This window comes from Homo sapiens, chromosome 9, assembly GCF_000001405.40.
Source record: "Homo sapiens chromosome 9, GRCh38.p14 Primary Assembly".
Taxonomy (NCBI): domain Eukaryota; kingdom Metazoa; phylum Chordata; class Mammalia; order Primates; family Hominidae; genus Homo; species Homo sapiens.
In genome coordinates this window covers 6,668,207-6,691,120 of record NC_000009.12, presented here as the reverse complement: position 1 = coordinate 6,691,120, position 22,914 = coordinate 6,668,207, and the positions used below count along the sequence as shown (strand labels likewise).

Here is a 22,914-nt window from a genome sequence, read left to right as displayed (position 1 = left end):
ATAAAAATAGCTAGGCATCGTGGCATGCTTGTAGTCCCAGCCACTCAAGAGGCTGAGGCAGGATTCCCTGAGCCCAACAGCTCAAGGCTGCAGTGAACTATGATTGTGTCACTGCACTCCAGTCTGGGAGACAGAGTGAAATCCTGTCTCTAACAAAAAAAAGAAAGGCCTGAAAACCATTTTTTTTTATTTTGAGACAGATTCTCATTCTGTCACCTAGACCGGTGTGCACTGGTGCGATTTCGGCTCACTGAAACCTCCATCTCCCGGGTTCAAGTGATTCTCATTCCTCAGCCTCCTGAGTAGCTGCAATTACAAATGTGTGTCACCACACCCAGCTAATTTTTGTATTTTTAGTAGAGACGCGGTTTCACCATGTTGCCCAGGCTGGTCTTGAACTCCTGACCTCAAGTGATTCACCTGCTTTGGCGTCCCAAAGTGCTAGGATTACAGGCATGAGACACTGTGCCCAGCCAATAATTAAAAATTTAAAAAAGAACACACACACACACACACAATAAAAAGAGCCTGGAATGTTACAAGTGTATTATAGTTTATTGAAGTAAAAATTACATTTATGACATCATGAACAATTGTCTTATGACACAGTGACAAGGCTTGAAATTTAAAAAAGGAAAAAAGGGAACAATTGTCTGTTTGCCAGTCAACTAAAATACATACTGCTGGCCGGGCATGGTGGCCCATGCCTGTAAGCCCAGCACTGTCAAACCAATGATCTCTTTTTTTGATAAATGATTTATTAATGAATCACATTCTCTAAAATATTCCAAATCAGAAAATGTTGGGTTAAATACTTGTCAAGTTTCACAAGGTGATTAAATATACAATTGTGGGGTCCCACTCAGAACACTGGAGTTAGTATAAAGATTATTTTAAGCTGAAGACATTTGAGATGGAACAGATGCAGAAAGAAGCTTCCTTGGGACTTCCCTTATTTGATTAAAAGTAGAAACTTCTGAGAAATGAGGACGGACATAAATTTCCTGTTTGGGGTGGCTTCTACTCCCAGGGGAGAGACCCAGAATAAACCTACCATAAATCCCCTCTCTGGCAGTTTTATGAACCTGAAAAAGACCACTCACACCTATATAAGAAAGTTTGGTTTGTGATAATGTTTGCATGTCTCCCATTTGTTCTTCTAAAAACACATTTGTCTTTTTTAGAGAAACCTATTTGTCCTTCCTATAGAAGTCCTTTTTGGCTAGGCGCGTTGGCTCAAGCATGTAATCCCAGCACTTTGGAAGGCTGAGGCAGGCAGATCACCTGAGGTCAGGAGTTCAAGACCAGCCTGGCCAATGTGGTGAAACCCTGTCTCTACTAAAAATACAAAAATTAACTGGGCATGGTGGCAGGCACCTGTAATCCCAAGCTTCTTGGGAGACTGAAACAGGAGAATCGCTTGAACCTGGGAGGCAGAGGTTGCGGTGAGCTGAGACTGCGCCACTGCACTCCAGCCTGAGCAACATAGTGAGACCCTGTCTCAAAAAAAAGAAAAAAGTCCAGGCCGGGCACGGTGGTTCATGCCTGTAATCCCAGCACTTTGGGAGGCTGAGGCGGGAGGATCACGAGGGCAAGAGATTGAGACCATCCTGGCCAACATGGTTAAACCCTGTCTCTACTAAAAATACAAAAATTAGCTGACCGTGGTGGTGTGCACCTGTAATCCCAGCTACTCAGGAGGCTGAGGCAGGAGAATTGCTTGAACCTGGGAGGCAGAGGTTGCAGTGAGACAAGATGGCACCACTGTACTCCATCCTGGTGACAGAGTGAGGCTCCGTATCAAAAACAAAAAAAAATTAGCAGGGTGTGGTGGTTCACGCCTGTAGTCCCAGCTACTTGGGGGGCTGAGGTGAGAGGATCACTTGAGCCTGGTCAAGGTTGAGGTTGCAGTGAGCTGTGTTTGTACCACTGCACTCCAACCTGGACAACAAAGTGAGACCCTGTCTCCAAAAACAAAAATGTAGGTAAATACCATCATTTGTGACAAGATGGATGAATCTGGAAAACATTATGCTAAGTGAAATAAGCCAGGTATAGAAAGACAAATACTACATGATCTCACTTATATGTGGAATCCAAACATGTCAAATTCATAGCAGCAGATAGTAGAATGATGGCTACCAGAGGCTGGGGAGAGTGGAGACGAGGAGAATGGGGAATTGTTAATCAAAGGGTGCAAAATTTCAGATAGAAGGCTTTGAGATTTACTGCACAATAGAGTGACTATAATCAATAATGATGTAGTTTTATCTAGCCATCTAAAATGGAGAGATGAATCGTTCTGCCTATACAAACAAGTCAGTTATTAGAGGGTGGTTGAGGTATGCTACTCAGAAGATTTCAGGGTGTCTTCCAGCTGAAATCTCAATGTTCTCAGTATGAAAAACCTGAAATCAGATGCCTATGTAAGGGAAGTGCTATTCACCCAGTAAACCCAAAAAAGCAAATGGAGAATGCTGGCTATTTTGCCTTTCTGACATTTGTTTGGGAATCTGCAGGAACCTCTCCTTTCCCCTCCCCCAATAAGACCATTTAAGTGTGTGTTAAACAACTACAGCATACTAAATAAAAAGTTTGGCCAAAACCAACAACAACAACAAAATAATAATAACGATGTAGTTTCTCTTTTTTTTTTTTTTCTGAGATGGAGTCTCACTCTGTCACCCAGGCTGGAGTGCAGTGGCGTGATCTCGGCTCACTGCAACCTCCCGCCTCCCAGCTTCAAGCGATTCTCCTGCCTCGGCCCCCCCAAGTAGCTGGGATTACAGGCGCCCGCCACCACGCCCGGCTAATTTTTGTATTTTTAGTAGAGAAGGGGTTTCACTATGTTGGCCAGGCTGGTCTAGAACTCCTGACCTCAGATGATCCACCCGCCTTGGCCTCCCAAAGCGCGGGATTGTAGGCATAAGCCATCATGCCCAGCCATAGTTTCTCTTTCAAAATAACTAGAAGAGTAAATTTCAAATATCTCACTATTAAAAATGATGGATCAGCCAGGTGCAGTTGCTCACGCCTGTAGTCCCAGCACTTTAGGAGACTGAGATGGGTGGATAGCTTGAGCCCAGGAGTTCCAGACCAGACTGGGCAACATGGTGAAACTCCATCCCTACAAAAAAAATTAAAAATTAGCCAGGCATGGCGGCACACACCTGTAGTCCCAGCTATGCGGGAGGCTGAGTTGGGAGGATCACTTGAGCCCTGGCAGTTGAGGCTGCACTGAGCTGAGATCACACCACTGCACTCCAGCCTGGGTGACAGAACAAGACCCTGTTTAAAAAAAAAAAAAAAAAAAAGATAAAAAATAATTTTAAAAAGAGAGAGGGGTCCCACTCTGTTGCCCAGGCTGGTCTCAAGTGGTCCTCCTGCCCTAGCCTCCCAAAGTACTAGGATTACAGGCGTGAGCCACCATGCTGGGCTGTGAGACTCCTGTTTTTACAGAAAATTAAAAATTAGCCAGCATGGTGGCATGTACCTGTAGTCCCAGCTATTTGGGAGGTTGAGGTGGGAGGATTGCCCGGGCCCAGGAGGTCAAGGCTGCGGGGAGCTGAGATTGCACAAGTGCACTCCACCCTGGGCAACAAAGCAAGACCCTTCCCAAAACATAAAATAAAAATAAAAATGAAAAATCAACTGGAGTCAGGCAAGGTGGCACATGCTTGTAATCCCAGCACTTTAGGTGGCTGAGGCAGGACGATCCTTTGAGTTTGGGAATTTGAGACCAGCCTGGGCAGCACAGTGAGACCCTGTCTCTACAAAAATAAATTTTAAAAGCTGGCCACGATGGTGCAGGCCTATGGTATCAGCTACTAGGGAGGCTGAGGCGGGAGGACTGCTTGAGCCCAGGAGATCTAGACTGTGGTGAGCCATGCTTGTGCCACTGCAAAGTCAGACCTGGGCAACAAAGTGAGATTCTATCTCAAATAAATAAAATAATTGCTGGCCAGGTGCAGTGGCTCACGCCTGTAATCCCAGCACTTTGGGAGGCCGAGGCAGGTGAATCACCTGAGGTCAGGAGTTCGAGACCAGCCTGGCCAACATGGTGAAACCCCATCTCTACTAAAAATACAAACTTAGCCAGGCCTGGTGGCGCATGCCTGTAATCCCAGCTACCTGGGAGGCTGAGGCAGGAGAATCGCTTGAACCCGAGAGGCGGAGGTTGCAGTCAGCCAAGATCCTGCCACTGCACTCCAGCTTGGGCAATAGAGTGACACTCCGTCTCAAAAATAATAATAATAAGTAAAATAAAATAATAATAATTGCTATTATGTCTGTTGATCCAAAGTCCTGTTTTGGCAGTATTATATGTATTGTGATTAAAACAAAGTGAAAACCATAATTATTTTCTAAGTTGTGTTTCTTTGGGTAGTCAAATGGTCTTGAAATCTGGTGCGTAACAATAAAATCAATAAAAACAGTTCTTGGGATAGAAAATCTCAGGGTTAGTATGTCAGGACATATTTTCAGAAATGAACACTAGATGTCAGCTTTTAGGCAAGCTTTTCTGAGTCACTGACCCATTTTTACCTCCCGACAAAACCCAAGCCAAGTCTTTTCTGAATGTAGAAACTTTCCTCCTCAGGGAACTCCACTTCCGCAGGGCTCTCCCACTGACACCCCTGATAGGGTAACATTTGAGCTATTAAAATTAGCAGGAACTAAACTAGAAAGTGAAGCACCTATGGAGGTTTCTGGGGAGACATTAAATAAAAAACAGAGAAACAAACAAAAAATATAACCTGCAATTCTCTCCCTCTATTGTACTTTACTATCATTTAAAAGAATAAACACAGGCTGGGTGCATTGGCTCATCCTTGTAATCCCAGCAATTTGGGAGGCTGAGGCTAGAGGATCACTTGAAGCCAGGAATTCAAGACCAGGCTGGGCAACATGGCGAGACTCCATCTCTACAAAACGTAGAAGAATTAGGCAGGTGTGGTGTTGTGTGCCTGTAATCCCAGCTACTCGGGAGGCTAAAGCAAGAGAATTGCTTGATCCCAGGAGGCAGAGGTTGCAGTGAGCCAAGATCATGCCACTGCACTCCAGGCTGGGTGACAGAGCAAGAACCTGTCTCAAAATAATAATAATAATAATAATAATAATAAATATATGGCTGTAATCTCAGCACTTTGGGATGCCAAGGCAGGCGGATCATGAGGTCAAGAGATTGAGACCATCCTGGCCAACATGGTGAAACCTCGTCTCTACTAAAAATACAAAAATTAGCTGGGTGTCGTGGCGCGCGCCTATAATCCCAGCTACTCAGAAGGCTGAGGCAGCAGAATCGCTTGTACCTGGGAGGTGGAGGTTGCAGTGAGCCAAGATAGCACCACTGCACTCCAGCCTGGCAACAGAGCAAGACTCTGTCACAAAATAATAATAATAATAATAATAATAGTAATAATAATAATAATAATAATAATAATAGGCCATGGCTGGGCGTGGTGGCTCAAGCCTATAATCCCAGCACTTTGGGAGGCTGAGGCGGGTGGATCACCTGAGGTCAGGAGTTCAAGACCAGCCTGACCGATATGGTGAAACCCTGTCTTTACTAAAAATACAAAAAATTAGCTGAGTGTGGTGGCGGGTGCCTGTAGTCCCAGCTACTCAGGAGGCTGAGACAGAAGAACTACTTGAACCTGGGAGGAGGAGGTTGCAGTGAGCGAAGATCACATGACACTGCACTCCAGCCTGGGCAACAGAGTGAGACTCTGTCTCAAAAGAAAAAAAGAAAAAAAAAAGGCTAGATGCAGTGGCTCACACCTATAACCCCAACACTTTGGGAAGGCAAAGGCGGGCGGATCACCTGAGGTCAGGAGTTCGAGACCAGCCTGACCAACATGGCTAAACCCCATCTCTACTAAAAATACAAAATTATCTGAGCATGGTGGCGCATGCCTATAATCCTAGCTACTTGGGAGGCTAAGGCAGGAGAATCGCTTGAACCCAGGAGATGGAGGTTGCAGTGAACTGAGATCATGCCATTGCACTCCAGACTGGGCAACAAGAGCAAAACTCCGTCTCAATAAATAAATAAATATTAAACATAAAAATAATTTCATCTTTGTAATGAAGAGGGTGGAGCATGGGGAGAAGGAAATCTTCCTGAACCAATTACAAAGACCTCATGTCGTGCGTGCATGGTTTAACAGCAAGTTTTTTCAGCATTTGCTTTCTTTTCCCTTTTTTTGTAAGCAAACAAACAAACAAACAAACTCTACTCTCTGCCTATTTATGCCTTCAGTAACTATTTATGAAGTATTTACGGCGTACAACTTAGTACATGTCTCAGTCTGTGGCAAATGATGGAAGCCTAGAAAACACATATGGACAAGGTCAATCCTCTACCCTTGAGACCACTGCAGTCTCATGGGGGAAATAAGACAGTTACATAAAATGTCATAGTGTAAAGTACAGTTTCTAGCATGCACATTTTTTGGTGGCACAGCACAAATTAAGTATTTTTTCTCATTTTTTATTTTGTTTTTTTGAGGCAGATTTTTGCTGTGTCACCCAGGCTTGAGTGCAGTGGCGCCATCTCAGCTCACTGCAACCTCCACCTCCCGGATTCAAGTGATTCTCATGCCTCAGCCACCCGAGTAGCTGGGATTACAGGCACCGCCACCATGCCCGGCTAATGCTTTTTGTATTTTTATTAGAGATGGGGTTTCACCATGTTGGCCAGGCTGGTCTCGAACTCCTGACCTCAGGTGATCCACCCGCCTCGGCCTCCCAAAGTGTTGGGGTTACAGGCATGAACCACCATGCCTGGACAGAAATTAAGTCTTACTAAGAGGCATTTTAGGCCGGGCGCAGTGGCTCACGCTTGCAATCCCAGCACTTTGGGAGGTCAAGATGGGTGGATCACCTCAGGTCAGGAATTCGAGACCAGCCTGACCATTATGGCGAAACCCTTTCTCTACTAAAAATACAAAAATTAGCCACGCGTGGTGGCAGGCACCTATAATCCGAGCTACTCAGGAGGCTGAGGCTGGAGAATTGCTTGAACCTGGGAGGCGGAGGTTGCAGTGAGCCGAGATCGCGCCACTGCACTCCAGCCTGGGCAACAGAGCGAGACTCCCTCTCAGAAAAAAAAAAAAAAAAAAAAAAAAAGAGGCATTTTACTATTTTATATTGGGTAAGCATGGAAAAGGAGGCAAACTAATTTATTTGAGTGTGTAGAGAAGAAAAAGCAAGTTTTCCTTAACCATGGTAAGGTTCATGGCTGAGACTCCTATAACAAAATACAGATTAACAAGAGAAAAGCATACAAATTTGTGTAATATAAGTTTTACATGATGGGGAGTCTTCCTAAGGAAATGACCCAAAGAAAAGTCTGTGTACTTTTATGCATAGGTTTGAGAAAGTGGATAGTTGTGCAGAAGTATGATTGAACAAAGCGGGTATGATCTCACGGTAATAAATTGGGGGCATGAGATTAGCAAGACCTGTTTGTTCAGATTATTCTTGGTGTCCCTGTGTGACATTCCTTCCACCCTGATATAGGGCAGGACACCTGCCACATGAGGGTTTTCAAGAGAGATAAGAGGATGACCTTCCTAGGCTTTATGGCCTGCTTCAGAGACGGGTGAGGGAGATGTGACAGTGGCCTTCCAGTATATGCTGTTTTCTCAACTTCCAAGGTGCTATGTTTGGGGGTTGGGTTTCCTATGCCATATCAGTGCTTACAGTATGACAAGCAGCATGATGAGTGCTTTACAAAGCCTGCACTACATGTCAGGTAGTTTTTACTCATTTGTAAAATGAGCAATCTTCATTTTAGAAAGACTGACCAAAGGCCCAGTCATACAGATAGACGGTAGAATCCGGAATTGAAACTAGCTTCCTAAGCTACAATGGAGTGAAGCAAAAAAAGGAACTAAAACTAGGTCTAGGCTGGTAGGCTGGGTGCAGTGGCTCACGCCTGTAATCCCAACAATTTGGGAGGCCGAGGCAGGTGGATCACGAGGTCAGGAGATCGAGACCATCCTGGCTAACACGGTGAAACCCCGTCTCTACTAAAAATACAAAAAATTAGCCGGGCTTGGTGGCGGGCGCCTGTAGTCCTAGCTACTTGGGAGGCTGAGGCAGGAGAATCACTTGAACCCGGGAGGCGGAGCTTGCAGTGAGCCGAGATCGCGCCACTGCACTCCAGCCTGGGCAACAGAGCGAGACTCCGTCTCAAAAAAAAAAAAAAAAAGATTTTGAAGCATATGTTTCAACAGAGCAGATGGAGAAAGTTACGTCAAACGTCTTGAGAGGAGGACATGGAATGCCAAACACAAGGATCTAAAAACGGTAGTGGTGCTTTAATCCCACTGCCTTGGGACAGTGACGGAAATCAGGGACAAGAAGAAATACATTTCTTGAATTGGGCAGCTGAAAACCTAAAAAAATCGCTATCAAGTCCATTTATTTGTGTGTGTACATTTATTTATTTGTATTATTATTATTATTTGAGATGGAGTTTCGCTCTTGTTGCCCAGGCTGGAGTGCAGTGGCTCATCTCGACTCACTGTAAGCTCCGTCTCCCGGGTTCAAGCGATTCTCCTGCCTCAGCCTCCTGAATAGCTGGGATTACAGGCACGCACCACCACGCCCAACTAATTTTGTATTTTTAGTAGAGATGGGGTTTCTCCATGTTGGTCAGGCTGGTCTCGAACTCCCAATCTCAGGCGATCCGCCCACCTTGGCCTCCGAAAGTGCTCGGTTTACAGGCATGAGCCACTGCGCCCTGCCTGCATTATTATTTTTTAATGAGACGGGGGTCTCACTATGTTGCCCAGGCTGGTCAGTAACTCCTGAGCTCAAGCAATCCTCCTGCCTCGGCCTCCCAAAGTGCCATTTATATTTTATATACTCTAAAGGACCATGGGGCAGATACAGCACAGGCGGAAAGTCAGCTTTGAGTTAAGCCTGTTGGAGATGTAACAATACCAGGCAGAAACCCAGAAAGATGGGGCGTAGGGCTGGGTGCAGTGGCTCCCGCCTGTAAGCCCAGCACTTTGGAAGGCCAAGGCAGGCGGATCACTTGAGACCAGGAGTTGAGACCAGCCTGGGCAACATGGCGAAACCCCGTCTCTACCAAAAATATAAAATTAGCAGGGCGCTCACCTGGAGTCCCAGCTACTCAGGAGGCTGAAGTGGGAGGATCGCTTGAGCCCGGGAGGCGGAGCTTACGGTGGGCCGAGATCGCGCCGCTGCACTCCAGCCTGGGTGATAGAATGAGCCCCTGTCTCAAAGAAAAAAAGAAGGAAAAAAAAAAAAAAGAAATGGAAGCAGTGTAGGACCGAAGACGTCTGGGACGGAAGCTCACCCCCAGGAAGGCCTAGGGAGAGAGGCACCGGCGACGTGTCTGCACCACGCGTCACCGGCACGCGCGGTCCACACTCCAGCGCCGGGTCTCGCGAGAGCCCCAAGCGCGGAACCGAATCTGCAGGCGCGCCACTCTTTGCCTGCGGCACCCTTCCTCCAGTTCTCAGGGTGATGGTCGCGATAGTTGCACCAGCACATGAGGGCGAAAACCTCTTGTGCTGCCTCCCCGTGACTGCCAGTTCCCGGACCACGTTCTCCCCAAGAGCCCAAGAAGGGCAGACAGCCAGGCGCGCTTGGCTGGTCTCGGGAGGAGGAAGTGGCGGAAGTGGGATTTGGGAAACAATCCTGGAGTCGGTGTGCTACGCATGCGCCGAGGGAAGCGGCCAGGCGGGTGGAGGCGGTGACCGCGCGGAGGCACCGGCGGCCCAGAGGCTTATAGTCTCGCGCGCACAGCAGCGCGCTACGCGGCCATCACAGCACAGCCGATCCAGAGTCCAGTCACGTGACCCGCTCGTGGCAGTCCGTGTGGGGCACTGTAGTAGCATTTAGTGAGTCAGGCGAACCTAGCGGGCTGCCGCCCCAGATCAGTTTCTCCGTCAGATTCCATTTCTCCAGCGGCACCTGAACCGGCGCGGTCCTCTGCGTCTTCTTGCTCCCTGGGGATGGGGCCCGGAGCCCCCTTCTTCATAGAAGGGAAAGAGATTTGAGCAGGTGGAAGGAACAGGTGCCCAGGACGCTGTCCCGACGCCCACACGATGCGCTGAGACCTGAGCTTACCCTCGCGTGTCCCATCGTGCGGTGGTTCTGTCGCGGCCCTATGGGGAGGGACTCTGTCAGACGGGGACGTCACGAGGCGGCCTTGCCGGGCAGGGTATTGGGGGTACCGGCTCCATAGTTTAACTCCGCCTAGTAGTGACCGCGTCTTTTTGCGGTTTTCCTCAGTCCTGTGGCCGGAGACCTCTGCAGTCTCCCTCCCGCAATGGAGACGTCCTAGGAGGTCTTCTGTTTCCATGTTTAGGGAAATGGGAAACCTACATAGTTTAGTAACAAATTGAAAGAGTAGTCCAAAGTCTTCCAACAAAGAAGACTGCAAGCCACCATGGCTTCCCTGGCAAATTGAACGATATATAAGAGGAAAACATAATTCCAGTCTTTAATAGTTCCAGAATAAAAGGGGGAAGGAAGATGAAAGCGGGTAACACTTTTAAACTTTTTAATGGCCTAGCATAACCCTGATAGGAAAACCTGACGAGAACAGCGAATGGAAGGAAAAGTGTATGCAAGTTTTGCTCATGAGTCTAGACGGGAAACTCTGTAAGCAAAATATTAGCAAAATCTAGTATTATGTGAAAGGAATAATACCATAGCCAAGTTATGTGGTTTTTTGTTTTGTTCTGTTTTGTGGGGGTTTTTTTTTGAGACGTTTTGTTCTTTTTTTTTTTTTTTTTTGAAACCTCCACCTCCTGGATTCAAGTGATTCTCCTGCCTCAGCCTCCCGAGTAGCTGGGATTACAGGCGTGCGTCACCACGCCCGGCTAATTTTTTTTGTATTTTTAGTAGAGACGGTGGGGGGGTTTCACCGTATTGGCCAGGCTGGTCTGAAACTCCTGACCTCAAGTGATCCACCCGCCTGCCAAAGTGGTGGGATTACAGGCGTGAGCCACCTCGTCCAGCCAAATTAGGTTGTTTTAACATGAGAAGACAAATTACTGTAATTGAAGATACTAACTAATTAATGGAGAAAATATCATCTTAATAAATGTAGAATAATTTATTAAATTTAACACTTATTCATGATAAACACTCATGGAAAACCAGGAATAGAAGAGAAATTAATCTTATAGAGGGTATCTGCAAAACACCATACACCAAACATCCTACTTAATGGTAAAGCGTTGAAAGCGTTTAAGAACTTGGGGCCTTTAACTCTACAGAGTTTCCCAGAGTTGTGACTTTGATGATTCCATATACATAGACCATTTCAACATGTTTCTCTGTCCTATTTCCTGCTAATTGGTATGTTGGATTATTTTATTCCTTGGAACATAGTAATCATAATTATTTTGTAATCTGTATTATGATAATTCCAGTGTCTGAATTTTTTTCAAGGTTTTTTTTTTTTTTTTTTTTTTTGAGACAGAATCTCACTCTGTCACCCAGGCTAGAGTGCAGTGGTTTGATCTCAGCTCACTGCAACCTCCCTCTCCAAGGTTCAAGCGATTTTCGTGCCTCAGCCTCCTGAGTAACTGGGACTATAGGTGTGTGCCACCATTCCTGGCTAATTTTTTGTTGTTGTTGTTGAGACGGAGTTTTGCTCTGTTGCCCAGGCTGGAGTGCTGGAGTGCAATGGCATGATCTCGGCTAACTGCAACCTCTGCCTCCTGGGTTCAAGTGATTCTCCTGCCTCTGCCTCTCAAGTAGCTGGGATTACAGGCGCCTGCCACCACACCTGGCTAATTTTTGTATATTTAGTAGAGGTCAGGTTTCACCATGTTGGCCAGGCTGGTCTCAAACTCCTGACCTCAGGTGATCCACCTGCCTCGGCCTCCCAAAGTGCTGGGATTACAGGCATGAGCCACCACGCCCAGCCTTTTTCAAGTTTCTTTCTGATGTTTATGTTGTGTATACATCCATGGCGTCTTTTCATTTTGCCCAAGCTGGACTCAATCTCCTGGGACTCAAGAGATCCTCTTTAGCTTCTCTAGTAGCTGGGACTACAGGTGCATGCCAGTGCACCCACAGTGTCTTGTTTCCTTGTGTGTTTACTTTTTGTTCTTGAAAAAGTATTTGTGAGAAAAAGTACTTGTGGCTTCATTTGGAGAAGATCTTTGTTTGCTTCTGCTAGGTTCCTTGAAGCCCTTTCAGTCTGAGACTAGCTTTCATGGGTTGAAGTTCTTTGGATCAAAGCAAATGCAGGTTACAAACCTGGGCGAAAGCTGCCCAGTGACCACATCTACTTAAAGATGGGATTTTATTTATTTATTTATTTATTTATTTATTTATTTATTTATTTATTTATTGAGACAAAGTCTCACTCTGTTGCCCAATCTGGAGTGCAATGGTGCAATCTCAGCTCACTGCAACCTCCCAGGTTCAAGCGATTCTGCTGCCTCAGCCTCCCGAATAGCTGGGACTACAGGCATGCACCACCATGCTCAGCTAATTTTTGTATTTTTAGTAGAGATGGGGTTTCACTAGTTGGCCAGGCTGGTCTTGAACTCCTGACCTCATGATCCGCCCACCTCGGCCTCCTAAAGTGCTGGGATTACAGGCATGAGCCACCGCACCCGGCCAAAGATGGGATTTTAAAAATTTTGCTTTGCCTCCTCCCCACTCCCATTATAGTCAATGCAAAAGCAACCTTTCCCAATGTTCTGAGATGCTGGTCCACCTTCACTCTTAGGGCATAGCCTATGGTGTCCCAACTTAATATGGGAAGGGTCACCTAGTAGCATTTTTACCATGGAAAGCCCTAGACGTTGGATGCTGTTTCCATGCCCTGTGAGGCTACTAAAAACAGAACTAGATGTTGCCTGACTAGCAAATATCCTCAGGGCAAGAATAGCTTTTGTGCTTCTCTGTTCCATTTGCTTCTCTGGGTTCTCACCTTCTCTTAGCTTTTATCCTAATAATTTCTTACTATCTTATCAGCAACTCGATGTTTTGGGAAATGTGCCTTATATTTTATTCAGTCTCTTTATTTTATTTTATTCTTTTGTTTTGTTTTGTTTTGAGATGGAATCTCACTCTCTCACACAGTCTGGAGTGCAGTGGCGCAATCTCAGCTCACTGCAACCTCTGCCTCCCAGGTTCAAGTGATTATGCTGCCTCTGTGTCCCGAGTAGCTGGGATTATAGGTGCCCACCACCACGCCTGGCTAAGTTTTGTATCTTCAGTAGACATGAGGTTTCACCGTGTTGGCTAGGCTAGTCCTAAATTCCTGACCTCAGGTGATCCGCCAGCCTTGGCCTCCCAAAGTGCTCGGATTACAGGCACGAGCCATTGTGCCCGGCCTGTTCAGCACCTTTAGTTATTATCAATGGGCACATTGGTTGAATAAACCAGCCCATCATAACTGGAAATAGATGTTTGACATTTCATTCATTTTCTTCAGTCTGTTTATTTTATATCTGAAGATACATTACTGAAGGCTAAGTTCCTGTATCTTTTTTTTTTTTTTTTTTTTGAGATGGAGTCTTGCTCTGTGGCCCAGGCTGGAGGACAGTGGCGCAATCTCAGCTCACTGCAACCTCCGCCTCTCTGGTTCAAGCGATTTTCCTGCCTCAGCCTCCTAAATAGCTGGAATTACAGGCGCATGCCGCCATGCCCAGCTTATTTTTGAATTTTTAATAGAGTCAGGGTTTCACCATGTTGGTAATTGAATTTTGATAGGGAGATAGCCAAAGTCAGACTGATTTTCCTTATCCTTTTTAGTTGACAAGTTCTTTTTATATGGATAGGCCGTTTTTTTCAGGGTCAGACTTGGAGAAGATTTACTGTAATTAGTCTCTTAGCTGTTGGGTCCCTCTCCCACTAGCTAAGTAGGCAAAGAACAACCCCCAACTTCCAGGGAGAATGCAGGAAATCAGCTAATTTTTTTTGTTCTAGTTTTGTATCTTTTAGTGTTCACATGTGCATATACACATAGATATGATTGACTATGCAATATGGGTAATTATGGACATTCATTATTTACCAGGTCCCCACTATGTGCCTTAAACTGTGCTGTGCGCTTGATTTATACCTTTGAACGTAAGTTCTTGGACTTATGAAGCAATTAAAGAGCTAGATTTTCGAGAATAATGAAGCCAATTAAAGAACAGTGAAGAATAATGAAGTCAATAATTAGTGAATAATAATGAAGAATAATGAAGTCAATTAAAGAGCTAGATTTTCGAGAATAATGAAGCAACCTATCTTTTTCTTTTTAAGAAAGGGTATGGTTCTGTTGCTCCGTCTGGAGTGCAGTGGTGCCAGTCATGGCTCACTGCACCCTTGACCTCCTGGGCTCAAGTGACCCACCCGGGCCTCCTAAAGTGATAGGCATGAGCCACCACACATGGCCAAGCAACTGTTATTTAATTAGAATTGTCATAAGTGCAGCTGTGACAAAGTACAGGGTGTTATAAAAGTGTAAAACAGAAAGACATAACCTAATTTGGAAGATTTGGGTAGGTTTCAATGAATAAGTTACAAATTAGTGAGAGAACTGAAGGAGGAACTGGCTAGGTGAAAAGTTGTGAAGTGAGCCTTGTGGGCAGAGGGAATGTAATGTGCAAAGGTCCTGAGATTGAACAGAGCTCGAAAACTTACAGGAATTGGAAAAAGGTTGGTGCTGTTGCAGCATTCTGAGCAAAGAGGAGAGTTGCCAAGATGAGTCTGGCCACATCATATAGGACTTTGTGGGCAATGTTAAAGAATTGTGACATTGGCCGGGCACAGTGGCTGATGCCTGTAATCCCAGCACTTTGGGAGGGCCAGGTGGGTGGTTCACCTGAGGTCAGGAGTCCGAGACTAGCCTGACCAATATGGTGAAACCCTGTCTCTACTAAAAGTACAAAAAAATTAGCCAGGCATGGTGGCTCACGCCTGTAGTCCCAGCTACTCAGGAGGCTGAGACAGGAAAGTTGCTTGAACCCAGGAGGCAGAGGTTACAGTGAGCTGAGATCGCACCACTGCACTCCAGCCTGGGCGACAGAGCGAGACTCCCTCTCAAAAAAAAAAAAAGGAAAAAGAAAAAGAATTGCGACATCATCCTGATAATAGAACAATTAGAAATTTTTTTTAAGGTAGTAAGTTTTTTAATACACTTAAAAATACAAGAGCACAGGCCAAGTGTGGTAGCTTGTGCCTATAATCCCAGCACTTTGTGAGGCCGAGGCAGGTGGATCACGAGGTCAGGAGTTCGAGACCAGCCTGACCAGCATGGTGAAACAACGTCTCTACTAAAAATACAAAAAAAATTAGCCAGGCATGGTGGCGCGCGCCTGTAATCCCAGCTACTCGGGAGGTTGAGGCAGGAGAATTGCTTGAATCCGGGAGGCAGAGGTTGCAGTGAGCTGAGATCACACTACTGCACTCCAGCCTGGGTGACAGAGTGAGACTCCATCTCAAAAAAAAAAAATAAAATACAAGAGCACAAATCCACATTTATTTATTGACTTTTCATTAGTTTAAATCCTTGAGGGGTCCAGCATCACTCAGATCTGTGTCCAATAGCCTTAGCAGGAAGATTGCTTCAGAATTTGCCACGAATCAGGCCACTGTTTCCGTGGGCCCAAGTTACCTTTACCCAGATTACTCTGGTTTTTTTGGTTTGCTGCCAGATGTCACTGTGTTGTTCTTTGCTTTGTGTACATAAGCGCATCTCTTGCCCAAATAGACTTCTGTTTCATCATGGGCATAAACATCTTCAATTTTAAGAAGAGCAGTCTACTCCCTTTGGTTCCGGAGACCCTGCTTATAGCTGGCAAAAATGGCCTTGGACCACAGCTCTCCAGACATAGTTCCTTTTAGAAGTCCTGTTCCTATTCCCAGCAGGCCTCCACAGGAACCAAGATGGTGGGAACAGAATTATTAGAAATTTTTTAAGCCAGGGGGAGATGTGCTCAAATTATGTTTTTTTGTTTGTTTTGTTTTGTTTGAGATGGAGTTTCGCTCTTGTTGCCCAGACTGGAGTACATTGGTGCGGTCTTGGCTCACTGCAACCTCCTCCTCCTGGGTTCAAGCGATTCTCCTGCTTCAGCCTCCCAAGTAGCTGGGATTACAGTCATGTGCCACCATGCCAGGCTAATTTTGTATTTTTAGTAGAAGCGGGGTTTCTCCACGTTGATCAGGCTGGTCTCGAACTCCTGACCTCAAGTGATCCACCCGCCTCGGCTTCCCAAAGTGCTGGGATTACAGGTGTGAGCCACTATGCCCGGCCAAATGTTGGGTTTTATAATGCAGTATTACTTAGCTGAAAATGGAGAATGGGCATGGGCACAAGTGGAAATGAAGACTCCAGTGAGATGACAGAGAGTCTAGCAAAAGATGAAGGCATTTTGAATAATAGTGATGATAGTGAAGTCTAAAGAAGTGTATAGATTCACAAAGCATTTAAAAGGTAGCATCAGGCTGGGTGTGGTGGCTCATGACTGTAATCCTAACAGCTGGGGAGGCTGAGGTGGGAAGATTGCCTGAGTCCATGAGTTTGAGACTAGGCTGCGCAACATAGGGAGACCCTGTCTCTACAAAAAATAAAATAAAAAATATTAGCCAGGCGTGGTGGTGTGTGCCTGCAGTCCCAGCTACCCAGAAGGCTGAGGTGGGAGGATCACTTCAGCATGGGAGGTTGAGGCTGCAGTGAGCCATGATTGTGCCACTGCACTCCAGCCTGGGTGATGGAAGGAGACCCTATTTCAAAATAAAATAAAGTAGGCCAGGCGCAGTGGCTCACCCCTGTAATCCCAGCACTTTGGGAGGCCGAGGCGGGTGGATCATGAGGCGGGTGGATCACGAGGTCAGGAGTTCGAGATCAGCCTGGTCAAGATGGTGAAACCCCATCTCTACTAAAAATATAAAAATTAGCTGGGCATGGTGGCGCATGCCTGTAGTCCCAGCTACTTGGGAGGCTAAGGCAGGAGAATCGCTTGAACCCGGGAGGCAGAGATTGCAGTGAGCCAAGATCGTGTCATTGCACTCCAGCCCGGGCGACAAGAGCGAAACTCCGTCTTAAAAATAAAATAAAGTAAATGAAAAGGTAGGATCCTGGGAGTGTGGGGATAAATTTGATATGATGAGATGATCAAGAGAGCTGCCATATTTTTCTGAAGGAATTTAGATTCCTCTCACTCCTCCCAGGAAAACAAAAGACTTATATTCTCTTTCTGGAATAAGACTATACTATTCAGGAAGCAGAAAGTAAACATTGAAAGTTTGGTCAACATGAAACATAACCTAGGCAAACATAGTTGGATGAGAGAGGGAAATGCCTACAAAAGGAGCTAAGTAAAAGCTGTACAGGTCTAGGGGCTTTTTGGTGGAATCAAAGGAATTAGAGGAGTTTCTGTTGAGGACCTACTTTTTGGACTCAACTCATGGCTGTGCTCCCCTGTGTCCCCTCACCCTTCATGGGCCTCATGGGTCACCCTGGTTTCTGAGACCTAGCTTCCCATGGTCTGACCCTCACCACTGTCACCTGCATCCCCTTTGTGAGCTTTGGGATTGAGGTCTATCTAGTTTCAGCCTCTGAGGCCAAACCACAGTGCCTCTTCTACCCTAATTAGATAAAACTGTGTTTCCTGTTAATAGCTGTCAGTTACTGAACACCCACTCCATGCCGTCCACTTTACTCTGCATGGAAGCTATCCCATATCACATTTAATCCTTCTAACAACTTTGAGGAAGATTCATTATCATTCTGCATTTTAAGATGAGGAAATGTGGAAAAATGAAGGTCAAGGAGTTTAAATGTCTGGCCCAAGTTAATAATTCCTATAATTGGCAGATCTGAGACTCCAACGCTGATCTACCCAACTGCACAGCCCAGACTTTACAGGCTACCGTGTCTAGTTTAGCCTCTCTGCTTCACCTCAATCTTAGCTCTGCCTAAGATTTGCGAGCCTGTCTGGAAACATTACTTGGATTTCTGATCATTTCCTTTGCCCGGCAGTGTTGAGAATTGGGGCCTATAAGAGGTGATTATGTCATGAGGGCTGTACTCTCATGAATGGATTGATGCCATTATCTCTGGAGTGGGTTAGTTATCATGGAGGTGGGTTTCTGATAAAAAAAAATGAGTTGGGGCTGGGCGCAGTGGCTCATGCCTATAATCCCAGTACTTTGGGAGGCTGAGGCGGGTGGATCACCTGAGGTCATGAGATCGAGACCAGCCTGACCAATATGGTGAAACCTCTGTCTCTACTGAAGATACAAAAGAGCCAGGCATGGTGGCATGTGCCTGTAGTCCCAGCTACTAGGGAGGCTGAGACAGGAGAATTGCTTGAACTCGGGAAGAAGAGGTTGCAGTGAGCCGAGATTGTGCCTCTGCACTCCAGCCTGGGCAACAGAGAGACACTCCATCTCAAAAAAAAAAAAGAAAGAGTTGAGACCGCTTCCTCTTCCCATCTCTTGCCCATCCAACAAGGCCCTCACGAAATTCTGGCACCTTGATATTAAACTTTCCAGCCTCCAGAACTGTGATAAATAAATTTCTTTTTAAAATAAATTACCAGTCGGTGGCATTCTGTTATAACAACACAAAACAGAGTAAGAGAGCTTGCCATTCTTGTATTACATCCTGATTCCTTCCAACTTTGCCATGATGGCACACAGGAAGAGCCAGAGCCCAGTCTCTGAGAAAACAATTTCTGTCAATGTAACTTTAATTGGAACATTTAGGGCAAGAGGATTAATTATTGGGCAACTTTACTGCTTAGTCTACTTTTTTTTCTGACACAGAGTCTCGCTCTGTCACTCAGGCTGGAGTGCAGTGGCGTGATATTGGCTCACTGCAAACTCCACCTCCCACCACCTAAGTCTGGCCCTGCTTAGTCTGCTTGATTATTTGTTATTTTTCTCTTAAGTCTTTTCCTGTATGCTTGGTTTTCTTCAAGACCGTTTTGATTAAAGCCACTTTTTGTTTCACTGCTGTTTTTCTCTGAATGTGAACACAGAAATATGTGTTAGGTTTATGTATGCAGCTGTTTATTCCTGCATTATCTTGTATTGGTAAAAATCTGAAATAAACTACATGTCCATATTGAGTCTGGTTAAATAAAAGATGATAACATATGGCCCAGAGTGGTGGCTCACGCCTGTAATCCTAGCACTTTGGGAGGCCAAGGTGGGCAGATCACTTGAGCTCAGGAGTTCAAGACCAACCTGGCCAACATGGTGAAACCCCATCTCTACTCAAAATACAAAAATTAGCCAGGCGTAATGGTGCATGCCTGTAATCCCAGCTACTCTGGAGGCTGAGGCAGAACTTGGGAGGCAGAGGTGAGCCAAGATCGCACCACTGCACTCCAGCCTGGACGACAGAGTGAGACTCCGTCTCAAAAACAAAAATTATCCAGGTGTGGTGGTGTGTGCCTGTAGTCCCAGCTACTCCAGAGACTGAGGTAGGAGGGTTGCTTGAGCCCTGGAGGCAGAGGTTGTGGTGAGCCAGAATTGCATTGCTGTACTCCAGCCTGGGCAACAAAGCAAAGCCCTGTTTCAAAAAAAAAAAAAAAAACAGAGAGAGAGGTTATTGGACTTTAGATTGACTGGAGCTTCGAGATTTTTGTTATTTTTTTAGTTTCCTTTTCTTTACCACTTAAAAAAAATACCATTGAGAGCAAGCTTATTTTAAAATTAGATTTTTTTGTTTGTTTGTTTTTGTTTTTGTTTTGAGATGGAGTTTTGCTCTTGTCACCCAGGCTGGAGTGCAGTGGTGCAATCTCAGCTCACTATAACCTCAGTCTCCCGGGTTCGAGAGATTCTCCTGCCTCAGCCTCCCAAGTAGCTGGAATTATAGGCGCCTGCCACCACGCCTGGCTAAAATTTTTTTTTTTTTGAGACAAAGTCGCGCTCTGTTGTCAGGCTGGAGTGCAGTGGTGCGATCTCCGCTCACTGCAACCGCTGCCTCCCTGGTTCAAGTGATTCTCCTGCCTCAGCCTCCCGTGTAGATGGGATTACAGGCATCTGCCACCACGCCCAGCTAATTTTGTATTTTTAGTAGAGAGGGGGTTTCTCCATGTTGGTCAGGCTGGTCTCGAACTCGACCTCAGATGATCCGCCCACCTCGGCCTCCCAAAGTGCTGGGATTACAGGCGTGAGCCACTGCACCCAGCTGCCACTACTTTCAATGTCAAAAACCACAATTACTTTTGCACCGACTACACCTAGTATCTACTGTTTCTAACTTACATATCTAAAACTCTTGGTTCAGGTCTCAATGGTACAATTTATTCAATGACAATATGCAAAGGGTTTTGTGTTTCTGTAGTGCACTGGTTCTCAAAGGACATTGTCAAAATCTCTAAGATTAACCCAAGTTTGTGGGCTGTTTCTGGGATTTCCAAAATTTAACAGGCACTGGGGTACAGAAGAAAAAGCATGAAGGTTGAAGCTGATAGACATGGATCAAAGCCTAATTCATCTCTCAGCTAGTTTCAAAACAGAAGCCAAGTTAAACTGTCTAGGCTTTATTTTCTCATCTTTAAAATGGGGAGAGAAATATTAACTCAGAGGGTTGTGGGGAGACCTGAATTAGAGTATGCCCATGGAGCAACTGGTGAATGGAAGGTGCTCAAGTCCACAGGTGTGTTCTCACTCCCTCTAGTAACAAAACAGTGCAGTCGGCCTGCCACACTTGCAGTTTACATCCTAGATCCAACCAACTGCAGATCAAAAATGTTCAGAAAAAAACAAATAATAAAAAGCAATAATACAACAATAAAAATTATACAAATAAAAAACACAGTATAACAACCATTTAAATAGCACTTACATTGTATTAAGGTATTATAAATAACCTAGAGATTTAGAATATTTGGAAGGATGTACATAGGTTACATACAAATTTGACACCATAGTATATGCACCAGAATATATTAGGGACTTGAACATGCGCGGATACGCGCAGATTTTGGTATCCGTGGGGACAGAGTGGGGTGTCCGGGAACCCTGGAGGCTTGTGTTAAAATGCTCTTTGCGGCTCGCTATATTGTAAGGCGGTGCCAGCTGCCGCGGCAGCCGATTACCCGAGTCTCGCTCCTGCATGGCCAGTGAGCCCCTGGCTGGGGTGGGAGCCTCAATGTCTCAGGCTGTGCAGACAAAAGGAACTCAACCATTAAGCAAAACATGGGAACTCAGTTTATATGAGTTACAATGAACACCTCAGTGACTCTCTTACAGAAGGCAATAACAGATGGCTTAGAAATTGTGGTTTCACCTCGAAGTCTGCACAGTGATTTAATGTGCCCAATTTGTTTGGATATGTTGAAGAACACCATGACTACAAAGGAGTCTTTACATCGTTTCTGTGCAGACTGCAACATCATAGCCCTTAGAAGTGGCAACAAAGAATGTCTTACCTGTTGGAAAAAACTAGTTTCCAAAAGATCACCAAGGCCAGACCCAAAGTTTGATGCACTCATCAGCAAAATTTATCCAAGTCGTGATGAATATGAAGCTCATCAAGAGAGAGTATTAGTCAGGATCAGCAAGCACAATAATCAGCAAGCACTCAGTCACAGCATTGAAGAAGGACTGAAGATAACTGCAGCGAGGCAAGAAACAATAGATTGAAAATGGTAGTGGAGCAGAAGATAACGGTGACAGTTCACACGGTAGTAATGCCTCCACACATAGCAATCATGAAGCAGGCCCTAGTAACAAATGAACCAAAACAACTGATGATTCTGGGCTTGAGCTTGATAATAACAATGCAGCAATGGAAATTGATCCAGTAATGGATGGCGCTAGTGAAATCGAATTATATTCAGGCCTCATCCCACACTTATGGAAAAAGATGACAGTGCACAGACAAGATACATAAAGACTTCTGGTAACACCACTGTTGATTACTTATCCAAGTATCTGGCTGTGAGGTTAGCTTTAGAAGAACTTCGAAGCAAAGGTGAATCAAACCAGATGAGCCTTGATACAGCCAGTGAGAAGCAGTATACCACTTATATAGCAACAGCCAGTGGCCAGTTCACTGTATTAAATTGCTCTTTTTCTTTGGAATTGGTCAGTGAGAAATACTAGAAAGTGAACAAACCCATGGAACTTTACTATGCACATACAAGGGAGCACAAATGAGCTTTTAAAAACCAATTCTGAGACTGAACTTTTTTATAGTGCATTTCTTTAATATTAAAGATGTACCAGCCGGGCGCGGTGGCTCACGCCTGTAATCCCAGCACTTTGGGAGGCCGAGGCGGGCGGATCACAAGGTCAAGAGATCGAGACCACCGTGAAACCCCGTCTCTACTAAAAATACAAAAAATTAGCCGGGCACATTGGCAGGCACCTGTAGTCCCAGCTACTCGGGAGGCTGAGGCAGGAGAATGGCGTGAACACGGGAGGCGGAGCTTGCAGTGAGCTGAGATCGCGCTACTGCACTCCAGCCTGGGTGACAGAGCGAGACTCCGTCTCAAAATAAATAAATAAATAAATAAATAAAAATAAAGATGACTGGCATTACTTTTATGGACAGATCTTGGATATGTTGTTCAGTTTTCTTTCTGAGCCAGACTCGTTTACGCTATTCAAATCTTTTCCCCTTAACTTAAGATTTCCTTTTTGGAAGGGACTGCAATTATTCAGTACTGTTTTCTTTTCTTTAAAAAAAATACCTGAAGTTTCTTGTGGGTTTTTTCCCCCCACAAAGTGTGGTTCCACTTGGAGCACCCTTTGACCCAGGAATTTTTCATAGTTTCTGTATTCTTAAAGATTCAGTTGGCTGTCCTTTTCCCGCTCCCCTCAAAAGATTTTTAGTCATACACAATGTTAAATATTATGTATTCCGACTTTTTTTCCCCTGGAGTCTTGTATATTCATAGTTTTCTATATAAACTGTGGTACCATCATGAAGACCCAAGGCTCAAATTT

At 45.3% G+C, this 22,914-nt stretch overlaps 2 pseudogenes, besides 6 other annotated features; one reads left to right on the top strand and one right to left on the bottom strand.

The window, feature by feature from the left end:
- Nucleotides 7,395-7,654: an enhancer, noted in NCBI's record as "active region_28198". NCBI's record gives its function as "activates an Ori minimal core promoter by ATAC-STARR-seq in GM12878 lymphoblastoid cells {active_cell/tissue: GM12878}" and the evidence as "EXISTENCE:reporter gene assay evidence [ECO:0000049][PMID:35858748]".
- Nucleotides 9,168-9,916: an enhancer, noted in NCBI's record as "NANOG-H3K27ac-H3K4me1 hESC enhancer chr9:6681205-6681953 (GRCh37/hg19 assembly coordinates)". NCBI's record gives its function as "activates a minimal SCP1, AML or CMV promoter by ChIP-STARR-seq in naive H9 embryonic stem cells {active_cell/tissue: H9 hESC(naive)}" and the evidence as "EXISTENCE:reporter gene assay evidence [ECO:0000049][PMID:30033119]".
- Nucleotides 9,168-10,202: a biological region, named in NCBI's record as "NANOG-H3K27ac-H3K4me1 hESC enhancer GRCh37_chr9:6681205-6681953".
- Nucleotides 9,223-9,342: an enhancer, noted in NCBI's record as "active region_28197". NCBI's record gives its function as "activates an Ori minimal core promoter by ATAC-STARR-seq in GM12878 lymphoblastoid cells {active_cell/tissue: GM12878}" and the evidence as "EXISTENCE:reporter gene assay evidence [ECO:0000049][PMID:35858748]".
- Nucleotides 9,413-9,702: an enhancer, noted in NCBI's record as "active region_28196". NCBI's record gives its function as "activates an Ori minimal core promoter by ATAC-STARR-seq in GM12878 lymphoblastoid cells {active_cell/tissue: GM12878}" and the evidence as "EXISTENCE:reporter gene assay evidence [ECO:0000049][PMID:35858748]".
- Nucleotides 9,823-10,202: an enhancer, noted in NCBI's record as "active region_28195". NCBI's record gives its function as "activates an Ori minimal core promoter by ATAC-STARR-seq in GM12878 lymphoblastoid cells {active_cell/tissue: GM12878}" and the evidence as "EXISTENCE:reporter gene assay evidence [ECO:0000049][PMID:35858748]".
- On the bottom strand, nt 15,459-15,906 carry RPL35AP20 (ribosomal protein L35a pseudogene 20; annotated as a pseudogene).
- RNF2P1 (ring finger protein 2 pseudogene 1) lies at nt 21,020-21,630 on the top strand (annotated as a pseudogene).
- The last annotated feature ends 1,284 nt before the right edge of the window (nt 21,631-22,914 follow it).